The sequence below is a fragment of the Homo sapiens genome, chromosome 9, assembly GCF_000001405.40.
Source record: "Homo sapiens chromosome 9, GRCh38.p14 Primary Assembly".
Lineage (NCBI taxonomy): Eukaryota > Metazoa > Chordata > Mammalia > Primates > Hominidae > Homo > Homo sapiens.
In genome coordinates, this window is record NC_000009.12 from 2,716,370 (window position 1) to 2,732,514 (window position 16,145).

General features: G+C 41.8%; 1 protein-coding gene across 1 annotated transcript, besides 1 other annotated feature; it reads left to right on the forward strand.

Annotated features, from left to right (window-relative positions):
• On the forward strand, positions 1,141-13,668 carry KCNV2 (potassium voltage-gated channel modifier subfamily V member 2). Its single transcript, NM_133497.4, has 2 exons — positions 1,141-2,726; positions 13,077-13,668. Exons 1-2 carry the CDS (start codon positions 1,371-1,373, stop codon positions 13,356-13,358), a joined length of 1,638 nt encoding a protein of 545 aa, NP_598004.1. The 5' UTR covers positions 1,141-1,370; the 3' UTR covers positions 13,359-13,668.
• Positions 11,000-11,294: a silencer, noted in NCBI's record as "tiled region #5035; HepG2 Repressive non-DNase unmatched - State 23:Low, and K562 Repressive DNase matched - State 8:EnhW". NCBI's record gives its function as "represses a minimal TATA promoter and a strong SV40 promoter by Sharpr-MPRA in HepG2 and K562 cells {active_cell/tissue: HepG2 | K562}" and the evidence as "EXISTENCE:reporter gene assay evidence [ECO:0000049][PMID:27701403]".

The following is a 16,145-nucleotide window of genomic DNA, read 5'->3' on the forward strand; positions in this document are numbered from 1 at the left end:
CTATTAATAATGAAGAGGTACTGAGATGATGGATAAAGGTAGGTATATTTTTGCTTGTATATGTTTAGAATATTTCTGGAAGGATAGCCAAAAGGTAGTAATAGTGGTTGCTTCCTTGAGGTACACCTGATGTCTTGAAATTATGGGTGGGAAAGACATAAACTTTCTACTGTAATATGTCTTTTTACCTTTACAATTTTTTATCATGAATGTGTATTAGCTATGCAAAATAAATTGAATAGAAAAACCAATTCCCTGCTCAAAGCAAATCCCTCCTGCTTCTCTCCTCCCCAGTATTTATTGCATCTTTTGTTATCCTTGCATGTTTATATCCCCAACAAAACCAAGAGTTCTTTGACTGCTACAACTGTGTCTCCATCGTGTTTGCATATCCAGCATTTGCACATTGCCTTAATCATGAAAAGGGTTTTTTTTTTTTTTTTAAAGTGATGTTTTGAAGGATGAAGAAGACCCTTTTTTTTTGGGTGGAAGTCAGGCTCCCTTTAAATATGGCCTAATATTGCTGAGCAGGGTTGTGAGGCCCTAAAAACGTCTTCCTACCATTCCTGGAATTCTACCTTGAAACATGTCTCTATCCTTTAAGAGAAAGGGAGGAGATAAAAAGGAGAGAGAGAAGCTGAAGCTGACTCAAAGATCCGACTGGACCTGAACAGTGCCCCAGGGAGAATCCATTTGAAAAAAAAAAAAAAATGTGATCATGTGAATGGACAAGAAGGAGATGGCTTTAGATCTTATATGCTCTAAACGAAGAGTTACGCTGAGAGGGAAACTGACTTGTCATGAAGTCAGCTTTGTTCCGTTGCTATGTGTCATCCCTGCTAATGGTGAGTTTACCTAGGGCAGAGGCTACCATCTCAACCATGAAGCTGAAGACACAGGCATCCGTATTCTATAGCTAATTCAGTTGATTTCATCTCAGCACACATACACTGAGCGCTTCCTAAGAGCGAGGTTGACCGACATTTTTATTAGCAATAATCTCTGCCTTCTTCTGATTACCTAGAGATTTAAGACCACATAATCATCCTCTACCTCACAGGGTCAAGGGAGTGGGGGAGGAAATGGGCTAAGAGGTTCTAAATCCCTCCTAACACTTGCTTCTTCCAAATCAGCAAGATTAGAGCAGTCAACAGCTGACTGCGTTCAGACCCTGCAGGCTGGGCTGGCCTGCCCAGGACCTGAGAAGGGGCAGCTCCGGTGGCAATGTCTGAGCCCCTAGCTGTGCTGGTCCGGGCTGGCCTCTCTAAGACAGTGCAGGCCACGTGATCCATCCTCCTAGAGGCAGTGAGCAGGTGAGGGACCCCTACCACAGCCAGGAGGAAAAAGCTAGGCGTCCACTTTCCGCAGCCATGCTCAAACAGAGTGAGAGGAGACGGTCCTGGAGCTACAGGCCCTGGAACACGACGGAGAATGAGGGCAGCCAACACCGCAGGAGCATTTGCTCCCTGGGTGCCCGTTCCGGCTCCCAGGCCAGCATCCACGGCTGGACAGAGGGCAACTATAACTACTACATCGAGGAAGACGAAGACGGCGAGGAGGAGGACCAGTGGAAGGACGACCTGGCAGAAGAGGACCAGCAGGCAGGGGAGGTCACCACCGCCAAGCCCGAGGGCCCCAGCGACCCTCCGGCCCTGCTGTCCACGCTGAATGTGAACGTGGGTGGCCACAGCTACCAGCTGGACTACTGCGAGCTGGCCGGCTTCCCCAAGACGCGCCTAGGTCGCCTGGCCACCTCCACCAGCCGCAGCCGCCAGCTAAGCCTGTGCGACGACTACGAGGAGCAGACAGACGAATACTTCTTCGACCGCGACCCGGCCGTCTTCCAGCTGGTCTACAATTTCTACCTGTCCGGGGTGCTGCTGGTGCTCGACGGGCTGTGTCCGCGCCGCTTCCTGGAGGAGCTGGGCTACTGGGGCGTGCGGCTCAAGTACACGCCACGCTGCTGCCGCATCTGCTTCGAGGAGCGGCGCGACGAGCTGAGCGAACGGCTCAAGATCCAGCACGAGCTGCGCGCGCAGGCGCAGGTCGAGGAGGCGGAGGAACTCTTCCGCGACATGCGCTTCTACGGCCCGCAGCGGCGCCGCCTCTGGAACCTCATGGAGAAGCCATTCTCCTCGGTGGCCGCCAAGGCCATCGGGGTGGCCTCCAGCACCTTCGTGCTCGTCTCCGTGGTGGCGCTGGCGCTCAACACCGTGGAGGAGATGCAGCAGCACTCGGGGCAGGGCGAGGGCGGCCCAGACCTGCGGCCCATCCTGGAGCACGTGGAGATGCTGTGCATGGGCTTCTTCACGCTCGAGTACCTGCTGCGCCTAGCCTCCACGCCCGACCTGAGGCGCTTCGCGCGCAGCGCCCTCAACCTGGTGGACCTGGTGGCCATCCTGCCGCTCTACCTTCAGCTGCTGCTCGAGTGCTTCACGGGCGAGGGCCACCAACGCGGCCAGACGGTGGGCAGCGTGGGTAAGGTGGGTCAGGTGTTGCGCGTCATGCGCCTCATGCGCATCTTCCGCATCCTCAAGCTGGCGCGCCACTCCACCGGACTGCGTGCCTTCGGCTTCACGCTGCGCCAGTGCTACCAGCAGGTGGGCTGCCTGCTGCTCTTCATCGCCATGGGCATCTTCACTTTCTCTGCGGCTGTCTACTCTGTGGAGCACGATGTGCCCAGCACCAACTTCACTACCATCCCCCACTCCTGGTGGTGGGCCGCGGTGAGTACCTTTGCCCTGGGCTTTCCCATCCTCTTCCCCAGCCCAGTGAGCTGCTCCTCCCTCCCCTGGTTATCAGCCACCAGGCTTTGGCTTCTGATCCTCGTCTTCCCCCCCACCCCCAATCGCCGCATACAGCTAACAAAACGGCGATGGATGTCAAAAGTGGTGGAAAGAGAACTCAGCAGATCAGTAAGTAAGTGAATTTGACTTAGTCGTAGAAATCTCCAAATCTAGATTTCGTCTTCAAACCTTTAAAAGACAGGTTTTAAAGAAGATGCGTCATCATTACTGTTATTTACCAGTTATTGAGCATCCAGTGTCCTGACAAAGCTTATCTCATTGTGGCATCACAGCCTTTGAGATGGTTATGACCACCATTTTTTTTTAAGGGGACAAGCAGAAATGGCTTCAGTTTTTGAAAGAAACTGTAGATTTATACAGAGAAGGAGGTGAGACTTGGCTGAACCATGTTGACTCTAACTGAAATCCCACCACCTCTGGTTCCACTTAAATCTGAGTGTGGAAAGAAGCATCTCAAACTGAAACTTGCTCTGACTTCACTAAAGTTCTTTCAGGACCCTGTATTATTGCCCCATTTTACAGATAGTGAAATTGAAGTACAGAGAGTTTGAATGTGGACTCACAGCTAGAGGTGGCAAAGCCAGAACTGAAACTCAGTCCTGTCCATCTCCAAACTCCATGCCTTTCCCACACCCAAGCACAGTCTCTTTCAAGTTTTAGTTCTTTTGCATGCATTGCTGAATTTGTACAGTTAGTGTAACAGTTATTTTTTGTCATTGTTTTCTTTGGCCTTTGCCTTTTTATAACTTGTGCTGTTTACTCAAATATCTGTATTTTGAGCTGTGGTAGCTGAATCCCTGGAAATAAATGTTAATCAGGTCTTCTCAGATCGATGAATAAGTCGGCATATATGAAGGAAAGAATTGAATGTATGGTTTCCTTAGTTTTCTTTTGAAAAGTAGATTGTAATACCTTTAAAGACATTAAGCAAATATAACTAGTTTTCCCATGTCAGAAAGTAGATATTTTCAACATTGTGTATGTCATAACCCATAGTCTGGTGTGCACTTCTGAGACAAACCAACCCAAGGCCACTGACAGTGCAATGCAGCATAATAGAAGATTTAGAAAACCTGATTCTAGTCCCAGACCTGTCAATAATTAACCATGACCCTGAATAATTAACTGTGAAACCTTAATCCCTCACTTCCAGTCCTGCTTTCTCACCTCTAAAAGGGGAGGCTGGACATGTAAAAGTCTGCAGTTCAGTGAGTCTTCCTTCCCTTGAAAGCAGGGAGCTCATATGTATAGAGGATATGTGAGCTTTCTTCAGTGGCAGGATGATACGATGTTCTTCTGAATGAGCTAGGCAAATTCTGCTTCTCTGATCATATTCCAAGTGATGAAAGGTCATCCCTATAGTAGATAAACCATGTGTACAGATGAGGCTCATGGTTGATGATTTGTCCCCAGCAAATGACATTTACTTTGGGGTGACTAAAGCAGGAAAGCAGAAGAGTAAATCCACATGCTGATGATATGATACAACACTTGAGAGTCAAATTTCTATTCATCTAAACATCTTTAAAGGCTAGTGCATGAAGGCACTGGAGCTAGTACACTCTCTGATACTACAGTTTGAACCCACAAAAGTTTTTTCGACCTTTTGTATATTAACAAATACTTTGATAAAAGTTATGTTACTTTCAAACGGATATGGCTAGAGAAAAAATTTTAATTAAAATAAAACACATAAAGAATAATGTTACTCAGGTTGTATTTTTACCAGTAAATTTTTTTGAACTGAATACCCATTGATCTCACTTAAATTTCTGATCTGTTCAATGTACAATGAAGTCTAAACCTTTCAAATTATCTCTTTTTATGTTAACTGGCACTATGTAACTCAAAATCAATGTTTTTCATAAATTTTACAAAAATTGAATCACCAGTTTTTGCCAATCATAAATGTTACCAATTATTGCTCTTATCTGTATGAATTTCCTTTTGAAGCCATTATCTCTATCAGCCACTATTTTCATAGGCCCAATTTTGCACATTCCAACCATCCCATTTACAAACCTTACCCTTTATCAATGGTCTTTGTCCATTTTATTCTGAAAATTATTTATACCAGTAAAATTCGTTACAAATTAGATAAAAGACTGATCATCTGTATTTATTTCTAAACTAATCTATGAAAACAATGGGAGCAATTGCCCTTGAATATTCTAAGACCGCTCTGTTCCCCAGGACTGCTATGTTATTAATCCAGTTCTTCTCTGTACTTCTAACTACACTCCATAATACAGACTAAAGGTTCATATTCTCAATAGAGCAAAGAGAAAAGAACACATTGAATTGATGTGGACAAAATGTCTTGTTTCCGGTATGTAGATGCAAAGTGAAAAGAAACAAAACATTAGGACCAATTTGTCATATAACCCACAAAAATTCACCTTATTCATTCATTGAACAGTAAGTTTTTGAGCACCTCCAATGTGCCCAGTAGTATTCTTAACACTAGGGATACAGGGTAGGAGAAGAAAAAACAATCAAGTTTTTTCTCTTCTGGAGCTTACATTCTAATGGAGAAAGACAGATAATAAATAATTTCAGGTATTGGCATAGCTTGTGTGGGATAACAAGATTGAGAGTGATTCAGGCAGTAGAGTCTGTCTTTAGTGGGATAGTCAGAGAAGCCCTTTTGGAGAAGATGACATTGAGATAAAGTTTGAAAGATGAAAAGAGACTCATCTAAATGCACCTGACTCAACAGATATGACAATCTGAGAAGAGGATTCCTAAAAGTAACTGATCTAGTGGTTTCTAAGCATTTTATTAATCATGCATCTTATTTTTAAAAATTTGGGGCACATACCCATGATAAATGTGTATTTATTTATAAATAAATTAGAAGTTATTTATTTATAAATAAATTAGAAGTTATTTATAAATAAATTAGAAGTTATTTATAAATAAATTAGAAGTTATTTATAAATAAATTAGAAGTTATTTATAAATAAATTAGAAGTTATTTATAAATAAATTAGAAGTTATTTATAAATAAAATAGAAGTTATTTATTTATAAATAAATTAGAAGTTATTTATTTATAAATAAATTAGAAGTTATTTATTTACAAATTAGAAGTTATTTATTTACAAATTAGAAGTTATTTATAAATTAGAAGTTATTTATAAATAAATTAGAAGTTATTTATAAATAAATTAGAAGTTATTTATAAATAAATTAGAAGTTATTTATAAATAAATTAGAAGTTATTTATAAATAAGTTATTTATAAATAGAAGTTATTTATAAATAAGTTATTTATAAATAGAAGTTATTTATAAATAAGTTATTTATAAATAGAAGTTATTTATAAATAAGTTATTTATAAATAAAAGTTATTTATAAATAAATTAGAAGTTATTTATAAATAAATTAGAAGTTATTTATTTATAAATTAGAAGTTATTTATTTATAAATAAATTAGAAGTTATTTATTTATAAATAAATTAGAAGTTCTTTATTGCCATAATAACGATACATCACCAACCACCCTGAAATTCAATGGCTTAAAACATCAAGCGTTTATTTAGCTCATGAATTTAAAAGTCAGCGTATACTCTGATTTCAGCTAGAAGGTTCTTCTCTTTCATGAGGCTCTTGTTACTCATTCACATGCCTGATGGTCAACTGGCATGAAGGGAGAGACTAGGCCACATGTCTGCATTCCTCTGGCAGACTCCAGCAGCCACATGTCGATGGCTGTGGCAAAGAACAAGAGAGAGAATGCAAGCCCCATCATGCAAACACTTCATAAGTTTCTTTTCATGGCATTTGCTCAGCCCATTGGCCAGAGTAAGTCACATGGCCAAGCTGCAAGTCAAAGGGCAGGGCAGGTTAGCCCACCCACCATAGGAGGGCACTGCAAAGTTATATGGCAAACAGCTTAGACACAGAAAGATGTAAAGAATTAGTTCCAATAATGCAATCTTTCTCCTGCAGTAATATATTACTGCTCAAATATATTACACATATCAGAAAGTATACACTCACAAATTGAAACTTTAAAGATGAGATAAAGAAAAATATAATTGGCATTTTATTTCACCATTCTGGGGCTGTATCCTTTGTGAAATATGCATCCCACATTACAGAGAGTTTCTCTTATCCATTCTTTTATGTATTTTTAATACTTTCAGACAACACCAAATCTGACTTGCTTTTAATAATCTTTCTTCTCTCTATGCCAAGGATCCTGCAAACTTTCTCTGTAATTCAACTCAAGGATTTAAGAAAAATACAGTAGTTTTCATTACTGTGAATTCTCCTGCAGCTGCAAAACAAATCCCTCCTGGACACTTATGTCTACAAATGCTCATGTATTAGGATGTAGGATAGACCTGTCTTTTTCATCTGTCAAATGGAGGTTATTTGTGAGCACTAATGTAATAGGAAACATATGTAAACTGCTAGCCTATAGTAAGTCTGCAATAAATAGAAGCTACCATAACTGACTAGTTGATAGTCTTTGTCACATGGAAGCAATAACCTTTGCTTCTACATTCATTTGGGAAGAAAATAAAACAGAAATGATTCTTTTTCTACTGAGGAAAAGAAAGAACCTATAAAACATACGAGAAGGTCAGCTGTTCCCTCATGGGAGAACTTCTGAGAGTCCAGATAAACAGGCCCACGCCTAAAGCAGCTCCAGCCATCTTGGGGCTCTCTGGATTGCCTGGGGGTAGGAAATGCACGGCACAGCTAAACAAGAACAATGGGCTCTATGATGAAGCTGTAATCATTGGCCTCCTGTGTGGGTATGGTTTTTTTCTTTTACTTTTTTTTTTTTTTTAGCCTCAACATATGACCACATTTTTTTTTCTTATTTTTTTTTTGCCGGGGGTTGGGGGGTGGAGGGCATGGGTATGTTTTCAAGTAGAAAAGAGTAAGTAGACTTTGAATGAACCATTTCCTTCTGAGTTTTCCAGGGCAAGTTAAAGCTGTAGAAACCAAACAGGAAACTACGGCATGAACTCACTCCTTCAAAAACTAACTTCTCAAAAAGAAAATTTATCTCTAGTTGAGGCACCATTTTGTCCCAGAGACCTTGCTCCCATCTTTCTTTCCCTAAGGTATGTTTTCATTACCTTGCCAATAGGTGGCACTTACAAGATCACTGAAATTATTTTATTTTTGTTCATTGATTGCTTTGAGGAAACCCATTTGAAAAATAAATTAGGTTGCAGTCAGGAAAATAGATACCAAGGTGAATATTTCAAACAGGGAATTTAATACAAGGAAATAGATAGTTGTTAGAAGACTAGAAGAAGAAAAAAAAGAAGACTGGAAAAGCAGAAAGAGAAAACTGAGATAATCCAGAGATTGGTAATTGCAGGGAGTAGCTATTGGCCCTAGAATTGGGAGAATAAATGGGAAAAGGTGTTGCCACCAGAAGCTAAGAGTCCACAGGAGGGGCCTCTGTGTAGCTGTTGCAAGGACTCCTAAATTGGCACCATGAGGCTGATGCCAGGAATGCCAAAAAATGCCTGAACCATAGCTATTGGCTGCAATTGGAGGAATGAAGGCAGAAACCAGAGGCAGGATTAGAGACCCTTATGTCCTCATACCATCTTCCAGTCTCTCATAGGCAGAACATAACTAGAAGACAGTGGGCAAGAGAATCTGGGAAATGTAGTTTGCAGACTCCCAGTTCTGGAATTATAAAATAAAATACAGAAGGGTGTCAGGCTTGGGACTAAGAGACAACATATAAATATCTGGCACAGAAAGTAATAGAGTTCTACCTCCTTCAGAAGTAGCACAGGAGCTATAGACGGGGTAAAGGCTCTTAGGCATTGTTACTACTTTTTATCTTATGGATTCCCAATTTTGGAGTGGTCTCCTTTTATGTCTTTAAAGTATGTTCCTCATTTTAGCCAATATGATGTGAGTGGAACATGACAGCATCATTGAGGGCACGGAGAAATGCAGGGAAGCTGAGGGTGTGGACAGCATCATTATTGCGCACCTTTCTGTGGATAGATTAATAGATCTCAAACTTACATTTGTGGCTTTGCTTTAGCTGTGCACACCTACCGCTTATTGTACCACTTACAAACATGTCAGAACTGTAATATACAGATGAGGGTTGTTATTATCCTGAAGGTAGTCACCCATGACCTCATTCTAACAGTGATTCCACTAATCAAGACATTCTTTGAATTCCACTGAGGAATTACCTTCAGAGTTTGTGACACATCCACTTGTTTCTAGGTTGTTAAATCTTTGTCTTTTTAAGGCTACATTCAGTATTTTAAAATAGTTAAGACACTTTAGTTTAAGATCGACACTTAGAGTAAACCATCAAGGTGGATATGACCGCTTGCTGCTACTGAATCTACTGTGCAGACTATAATTCAAAAGAGGAATTCCAAATATACTTGTTGCAATAATAGCATGAGTAAGTACAGCCTTTGAAGCTGGATCCTTTGAAGGACAACACGTATTGAGGCTTATAATAATTTTATCCAAAAAAGATCCATCTTCACCACCTCTAATTCCTTTGGAAAACAGAAAGAGTGTTATTTTGAAAAATAAGTTTTATTCCCTAGGATCATAAATTCCTGAATGCATGGACTACTGGGTGCCAAGATTGATTCCATTCCTTGTTCATTATGAGGGAAACAAACTTGTCTTGTTAAATGAGAAATCCAAGTATTCTCAAGTTTTGGAGAAAAATTTGATGCTTATCCTCATAATATATGGCAGGCCAGGATTTGTTGTTTAGTGAGTAAACTGCCAGGGGAAGGTCACATTCTGGCTTTGGGACCCAAGGCTAAGGAAAGTATGTACGTTTACAGCAGAATGGTTAAGCTTCCAGTTTGCAGAGTTGCTGAGCTAGCCAGTTTTCTTCAGTATATTAAGATGGATTGCGGAAATTTTGGTCACATTTCCAAACCCAACTCCTGCTAATGTGACAACTCATTCTGTGAGGTCACTTGGGTCAGTCTGGGGCCTTCAGCTTTTAATTCCCATCTAGGGAGAAATGGCTTGGCCTATGGAATGTGGAAAAAAAGTTCCCCAAAGCCAAGGAATCCTGAGTTCCTCCTGGAGCCAAGGAACAAGAAACAGATCACTTGTTGAGTCAAATTATTCACGAAATAGACAACATATAAATTAACTGTACATTTTCAACAAATTATTGGGGACCAGTCACACATAGCCTCCTAGCAGAAGAGATCTGTTCTCTAAAAATAGAGATTGAAGATATACAAAAATATTTGGATCATATTATACACATCAGATATTTATTCTTCTTTAAGCCAATTCTCTTTGCTTTTGACTTTTCACTCAAAGTTCAGCCAAAAAAAAAAGAAGTTTGGCTTAAGGGTGAAGCAAAGCCAGTGTGCAGAATGATCAAAAGTTGAAAATAAGCAGTTTATCTTAATTATTTTCTTCCTCAGTGTCTTCCTACTCTCTCCCATCCCCGCCATCCTGAACCCTTAAGTGACTTGTTTCCTCCAAGGCCTCTGCATTGGACTTCCGTGGATGTCTCATGTTCTAAACCAGGGGTCCCCAATCCCGGGCTGTGGAGTGGTACTTGTCTGTGGCCTGTTAGGAACCCGGCCACACAGCAGGAGATGAGTGGAGGGCCATCAATCATTACCGCCTAAGTTCTGCCTCCTGTCAGATCAACCACAGCGTTAGATTCTCATAGGAGTGGGAACCCTATTGTTAACTGCGCATGGGAGGGATCTAGGTTGCTTGCTCCTTATGAGAATCTAACTAATACCTGACAACCTGAGATGGAGCAGTTTCATCCCGAAACCATCCCCTCCCCCAACCCCGTCCATGGGAAAAATGGTCGTCCACAAAACCGGTCCCTGGTGCCAAAGAGGTTGGGGACCGCTGTTCTAAACTACCCCTTCCTGTCACTCACTCCTAAATCCAAACTCCCTTTAGGCCTCCTCCAGGGAAGGTTGACTAAACTTTCATCCAGAGGTGTGAGTCATGGTGTTAGTGACAAATGAAAGCTATTGTTCAGCTCACACAACTGGAGAGAGATCAGCCTGGGGTTCTTTGACTTTTGGTGTGGTCAATGACAAGAAACACACACCCGGACACAGGAAGGGGAACATCACACACCAGGGCCTGTTGTGGGGTGGGGGAGGGGGGAGGGGTAGCATTTGGAGATATACCTAACGTTAAATGACAAGTTACTGGGTGCAGCACACCAACATGGCACATGTATACATATGTAACTAACCTGCACGTTGTGCACATGTACCCTAGAACTTAAATAAAAAAAAGACACACCCACTCATGCAACCAAGAGGACTTTGAGATTAACCCACAATCTCACTTTATCACTGCCTCACATCACCCCTTGGTCCAGAAGTTGGGAGAAGGATATTCTCTACTGGAGCCAGAGGGCAGAGTCAGGGAGGAGCTTGTTTCCACAGCCTGAGGGTCTGATAAGCATAACGTATATAGAGTTGCTGGTGTAGAATGCACTCAATAAATGTTGGTCTTTGCCTCTTCTCAGTGGAGGCCAGCTTCAGCATGGGGGACCCTGGGATTGCATACATGATATATATATAATAATATTATTGCTTACACACCCTGTGCCAGGCACTCCTTCAATTCCTATAACAACTCTGTGAGGTAGATACCACACATTTCAAAAGTAGAAACTGAGGCCAAGAGAATTTAGGTGATCTGCCCAACTTATTCAGCTGGGAAGTGGATTCAGACCCACAAGTCTACTGTAGTCCGTTTCCTTCAGCTTATCTACACCACATTACCTCTCTTGGATGCCTGCTTGTATTTTGACTCTGCAGAAAAAGGCTGCATGACCTCTCACAAGAGACAGGGCAGTGAGTGACAGGAGGTGCATCATCAGCCTCAAAAAGGAGGCATACCCTTCCTTTTTTCGTGGGCTGGATGGAGCTGTGGTTCTCATCAGTGCCCTCAGTTTTGTGCAGCTGGCTCACTTCTCCATTTCATTCTAATCAGTCAACTGCACTATTCCAGGTTCAAACTAACCCTTACATCATCAAAACAAAAATATTTACACTGCTAAGCTAACGGCCACCTCAGCACGGATCAACAAGATGACCATATGCTTTACTGCCGTCTGCTGGAAAATTATGGCAACAACTACCCAAATACACAAAGCAAAGAGTGCCCCCCTGGAGTAGTGCAACGCAAAAATGTTTACAACTGTGACCAACAGCTCTGCTTAAAAGGCTTCTAGTAATTTAGCCAATACTCTGGGGATCAGAGGGAGTACATGAGGCATAAAAAACAGTCCCCAAGGAATTTTCACAGGGTTTTCTCTGGTAACTGATAACTAGTCCCATGGTATCTGCATTTTAAAACAGAAGCTTGTTAACCTAAATAAGTCTCCAATTAGTGGGATTTAAATCAGTATGACAAGAGTAATGGGAAGTATTTCATGCAGGGGTGAACATATTTTTGGTGAGTGATGTCTTACAAAAGTCCCTTTACAAAATAATGAGAGTGTTTCTCCAGACATCTGCAATTAAAGCACCTTCACATAAAGTCTCTCATTTGAACTACGTAACAACTTTGAAAAGTGTTATAACTGTCTTCATTTTAAAGATGAGAGGAAGACAATGGAGGAGTTTCATGCCTTTTGTATGCCTGGTACTGTGTTCAGTGCTTTATATTCATTTTCTTATTTAGCCTTCACAAGAATCCTAAGAGTTAGATGGTTTTCTCCTGTTTTAAATAAAAAAAAAAAAAAAGAAAAAAAGAAAAAGAGAGAGAGAGAGTCTGAAGGTTTTGCCCCAGGTCACTCAACTGGAAAGGTTCAGAGTCAGGACTTGAACCCAGGTCTGACTGTTCTAAGCCCAAGATTTTTCCAATACATACAGTGTACAGGCAAACCCAGGGACCTGCTTTCCTGAATCTGGTGCCAGCTGAGTTAGGGAGGCAAAGATCATTTACTGAGCACGTTCTACATCAGGTACTTAACATACTATTTTAAATGCTCTTTACAGCAACCATTTCAAGTAGGTATTACCTCCTCCTCCCATATCTTACATTCAAACATGCATGAGTCGTAGTCAGGATTTCAGCCAAAGTCTTTCAGCTCCATCCATAGCTTCTGTTCTTTTCATGACACAGGTCCTAGAGGGAGTCTTCCTGGTACCTCCTAAAGCAGGCTCCGTGGGAAGCCATTACACTTCCCATGTGTACCCACAGGGAGGACGCTTCCCTGCTTGCTCCTCTCCCTTTCTTCTCCTCCCCGATCTTAGTGCTAACAATTCCATCCTGCTTTCCTTCCTCTACAGGTGAGCATCTCCACCGTGGGCTACGGAGACATGTACCCAGAGACCCACCTGGGCAGGTTTTTTGCCTTCCTCTGCATTGCTTTTGGGATCATTCTCAACGGGATGCCCATTTCCATCCTCTACAACAAGTTTTCTGATTACTACAGCAAGCTGAAGGCTTATGAGTATACCACCATACGCAGGGAGAGGGGAGAGGTGAACTTCATGCAGAGAGCCAGAAAGAAGATAGCTGAGTGTTTGCTTGGAAGCAACCCACAGCTCACCCCAAGACAAGAGAATTAGTATTTTATAGGACATGTGGCTGGTAGATTCCATGAACTTCAAGGCTTCATTGCTCTTTTTTTAATCATTATGATTGGCAGCAAAAGGAAATGTGAAGCAGACATACACAAAGGCCATTTCGTTCACAAAGTACTGCCTCTAGAAATACTCATTTTGGCCCAAACTCAGAATGTCTCATAGTTGCTCTGTGTTGTGTGAAACATCTGACCTTCTCAATGACGTTGATATTGAAAACCTGAGGGGAGCAACAGCTTAGATTTTTCTTGTAGCTTCTCGTGGCATCTAGCTCAATAAATATTTTTGGACTTGAGTTGACTTGAGAAAATTTTTTTTACTTTAAATTTTTCTAAAATTCTTAACTTTCCAGAGGGAGGGAGGGTTACAGCAGAAATTATACAAGCTTTGGAGTTAGACCAACCTTAGTCAGAATCCCAGAGCTACCAGCTGTATGCTTTTAGGCAAGCGACTCTAACCCTTTAAGCCTCAGTTTCTTCAACTGTGAAATGTAGGCAATACTTACCCTGCCAGGCTGAGCAATATAGTGAGACCCTGCCTCTACAAAAACTTATTAAGAATTATCTGGGTGTGCTGGCCCACACCTGTAGTCCCAGCTACTTGGAAGACTGAGGTGAGATCACTTGAGCCCAGGAGTTTGAGGTTAGAGTAAGCTATAACCACATTACTGCACTCCAATCTAGATGGCAGAGTAAGACCCTGCCTCAAATAAATAAATAAATAAATAAATAAATAAAACCACCTGCCTTGTAAAATGAGTCTGGGGATAACAGATATGTGTAAACGCTCAATAAATGATAGGTATTAAAATTGTTTAAGTGGATGTTATCTAGTGAAATCTCTAGACCAGTGGTTCTCAAAGGCAAATTCATTCCTCAGAGGCCAGCTAATGCCTAGAGATGGTTTTGATTGCCAATACCGTGAGGGGCAATAAGGGAGACTTCTGGCATCTAGGAGCTAGGGGCCGAGGATGTTGCTAAACATCCTACAAGGCAAAGGACAGCCCCCATAACAAAGAATTATCTGACCCAAAATGTCAATAGTGCCAAACTGGAGAAACTCTTGTCTAGATTTAATATGGGAGCCCCCAGATTGGACTTGTGAAACATGCCTAAATGTACTAATCCTCCCCCATTAGAAGGAGCCCCCATACTGTCCTTACTGACTCAGGCCTCCTTTTTCTCTTTTCCACAAAAGGAAGAAAAAAAAATAGCCCACCTCCTGAACAATTGCTGTGGGCAAAAGTAATTAAATCAGTGTGGCCCTCCACTCTCACTGTTGGTGGATTAGAGAACCAGTGCCCACAGGAAATGGGTCCTTTCTCTCCCTGTAACCTTTTCCTCTTCATTTCTTTGTCCTTCCTTGGGACTATTGGAAATGGAAGTGTTGAGAATTAAAGACTCCTTTGAACTGAGCACACAAAGATTGCCCTGTAACTGGAGCTTGCCAATGCAGACCCTCAAATTTGTCTCGGGGCATGGCTGGACCTATACTTGTGTCATAAGAATAAACTGCTGATTCAAGCAACAGAGAGAGAAAAAAATAAGAATAGTTGCCTACAATGAGAGGCAATTTGGACTGTATATGTAGCATATAACTTTAATATTTAATACATCCCTAAATAAGGTATTGGATTACTTTTTAATTTAGGAAGAAATGGAAGCTTGGAGAAGTTAAGTAATTCCACTACGTTCACACAGCCAGTAAACAGTGGGACTGGGGTTCAAGCCCAGGTCTGTCTGATCCCCAGGGCTCTTGATGGAGGGCTAAACTTGTATCATCAGCATCACCTGGACGGCTTGTTAAAGCCAAGCATGCTGGGCCCTGTCCCTGGGGTATCAATCAGTAGGCTTGGGAAGGAGCTCAAGGATTTGCATTTCTGACAAGTTCCAGGTGATGCTGATGGCGCTTGTGTGAGGGAACACATGTTGAGAGCCAGGGGTCTAAATCACTTTGCTCTGCCCTCCCATAAGGAGCTAGGATTATGAAAGGAGGCTATAACTGGAAAACTCTATTTAGATCCCACTCCCCCTTACTCCCAAGTGTTCTTATCATCAGCAGTGACCTGGCCTCTGAAGGGTGAACAGAAGCCCTACTGTCCTAAGGTTGCCAGATAAAATACAGGATGCCTGGAGTGTCTTACTCTGTACTGCTAAAACAGAATATTACAGGCTGGGTAATTTTCAATGAACAGACACTTACTGCTCACAGTTCTGGAGTCTGGGAATCCCAAAATCAAGGCATGTGCACGTTCAGTTGTCTGATGAGAGCTGCTTTCTGTTTCCAAGATGGTTCCTTATTGCTGCATCCTCCTGAGGGGAGGACTACTCTACCCTCACGCGGTAGAAGAGCAAGCTTACCAAACACTACATGAATCCCTTTTTATAAGGACCTTACGTGCTTTCAGGAGGGAGGAGCTCTCATGGCTTAATCACCTCTTAAAGGATCCACCTCTGAAAACTATCACATTGGCAACAGCTGAATTTTGGAGGAGACGCATCCCAACCATAGCACCAGTTAAATTTCAAGATAAATAATTTTTAGTAGAAGCATTTTGCAAATATTGCATGGTGTATACTTCTACTAAAAAACTGTTTATTTAAAATTCAAATTTAAGGTGTCCTGTACTTTCATTTGCTAAATCTGGCAATCCTGCACTATTGCTTTTGAGTTTCCTCTTACGGATGAAAATTACCCCCAAGTCCTAAAAAACCCACCCAAACAACAGGCCTCTCAGCCAAGGGAGACTTCTCTCCCCTCTTGCCAAATATA

Excerpts from the sequence above, each read along its gene's own strand:
- KCNV2 (NM_133497.4), top strand. The coding sequence starts at position 1,371 with ATGCTCAAACAGAGTGAGAGGAGACGGTCCTGGAGCTACAGGCCCTGG. Across the intron at positions 2,727-13,076 it reads ACTCCTGGTGGTGGGCCGCG|GTGAGCATCTCCACCGTGGG; the intron begins GTGAGTACCTTT and ends CTTCCTCTACAG.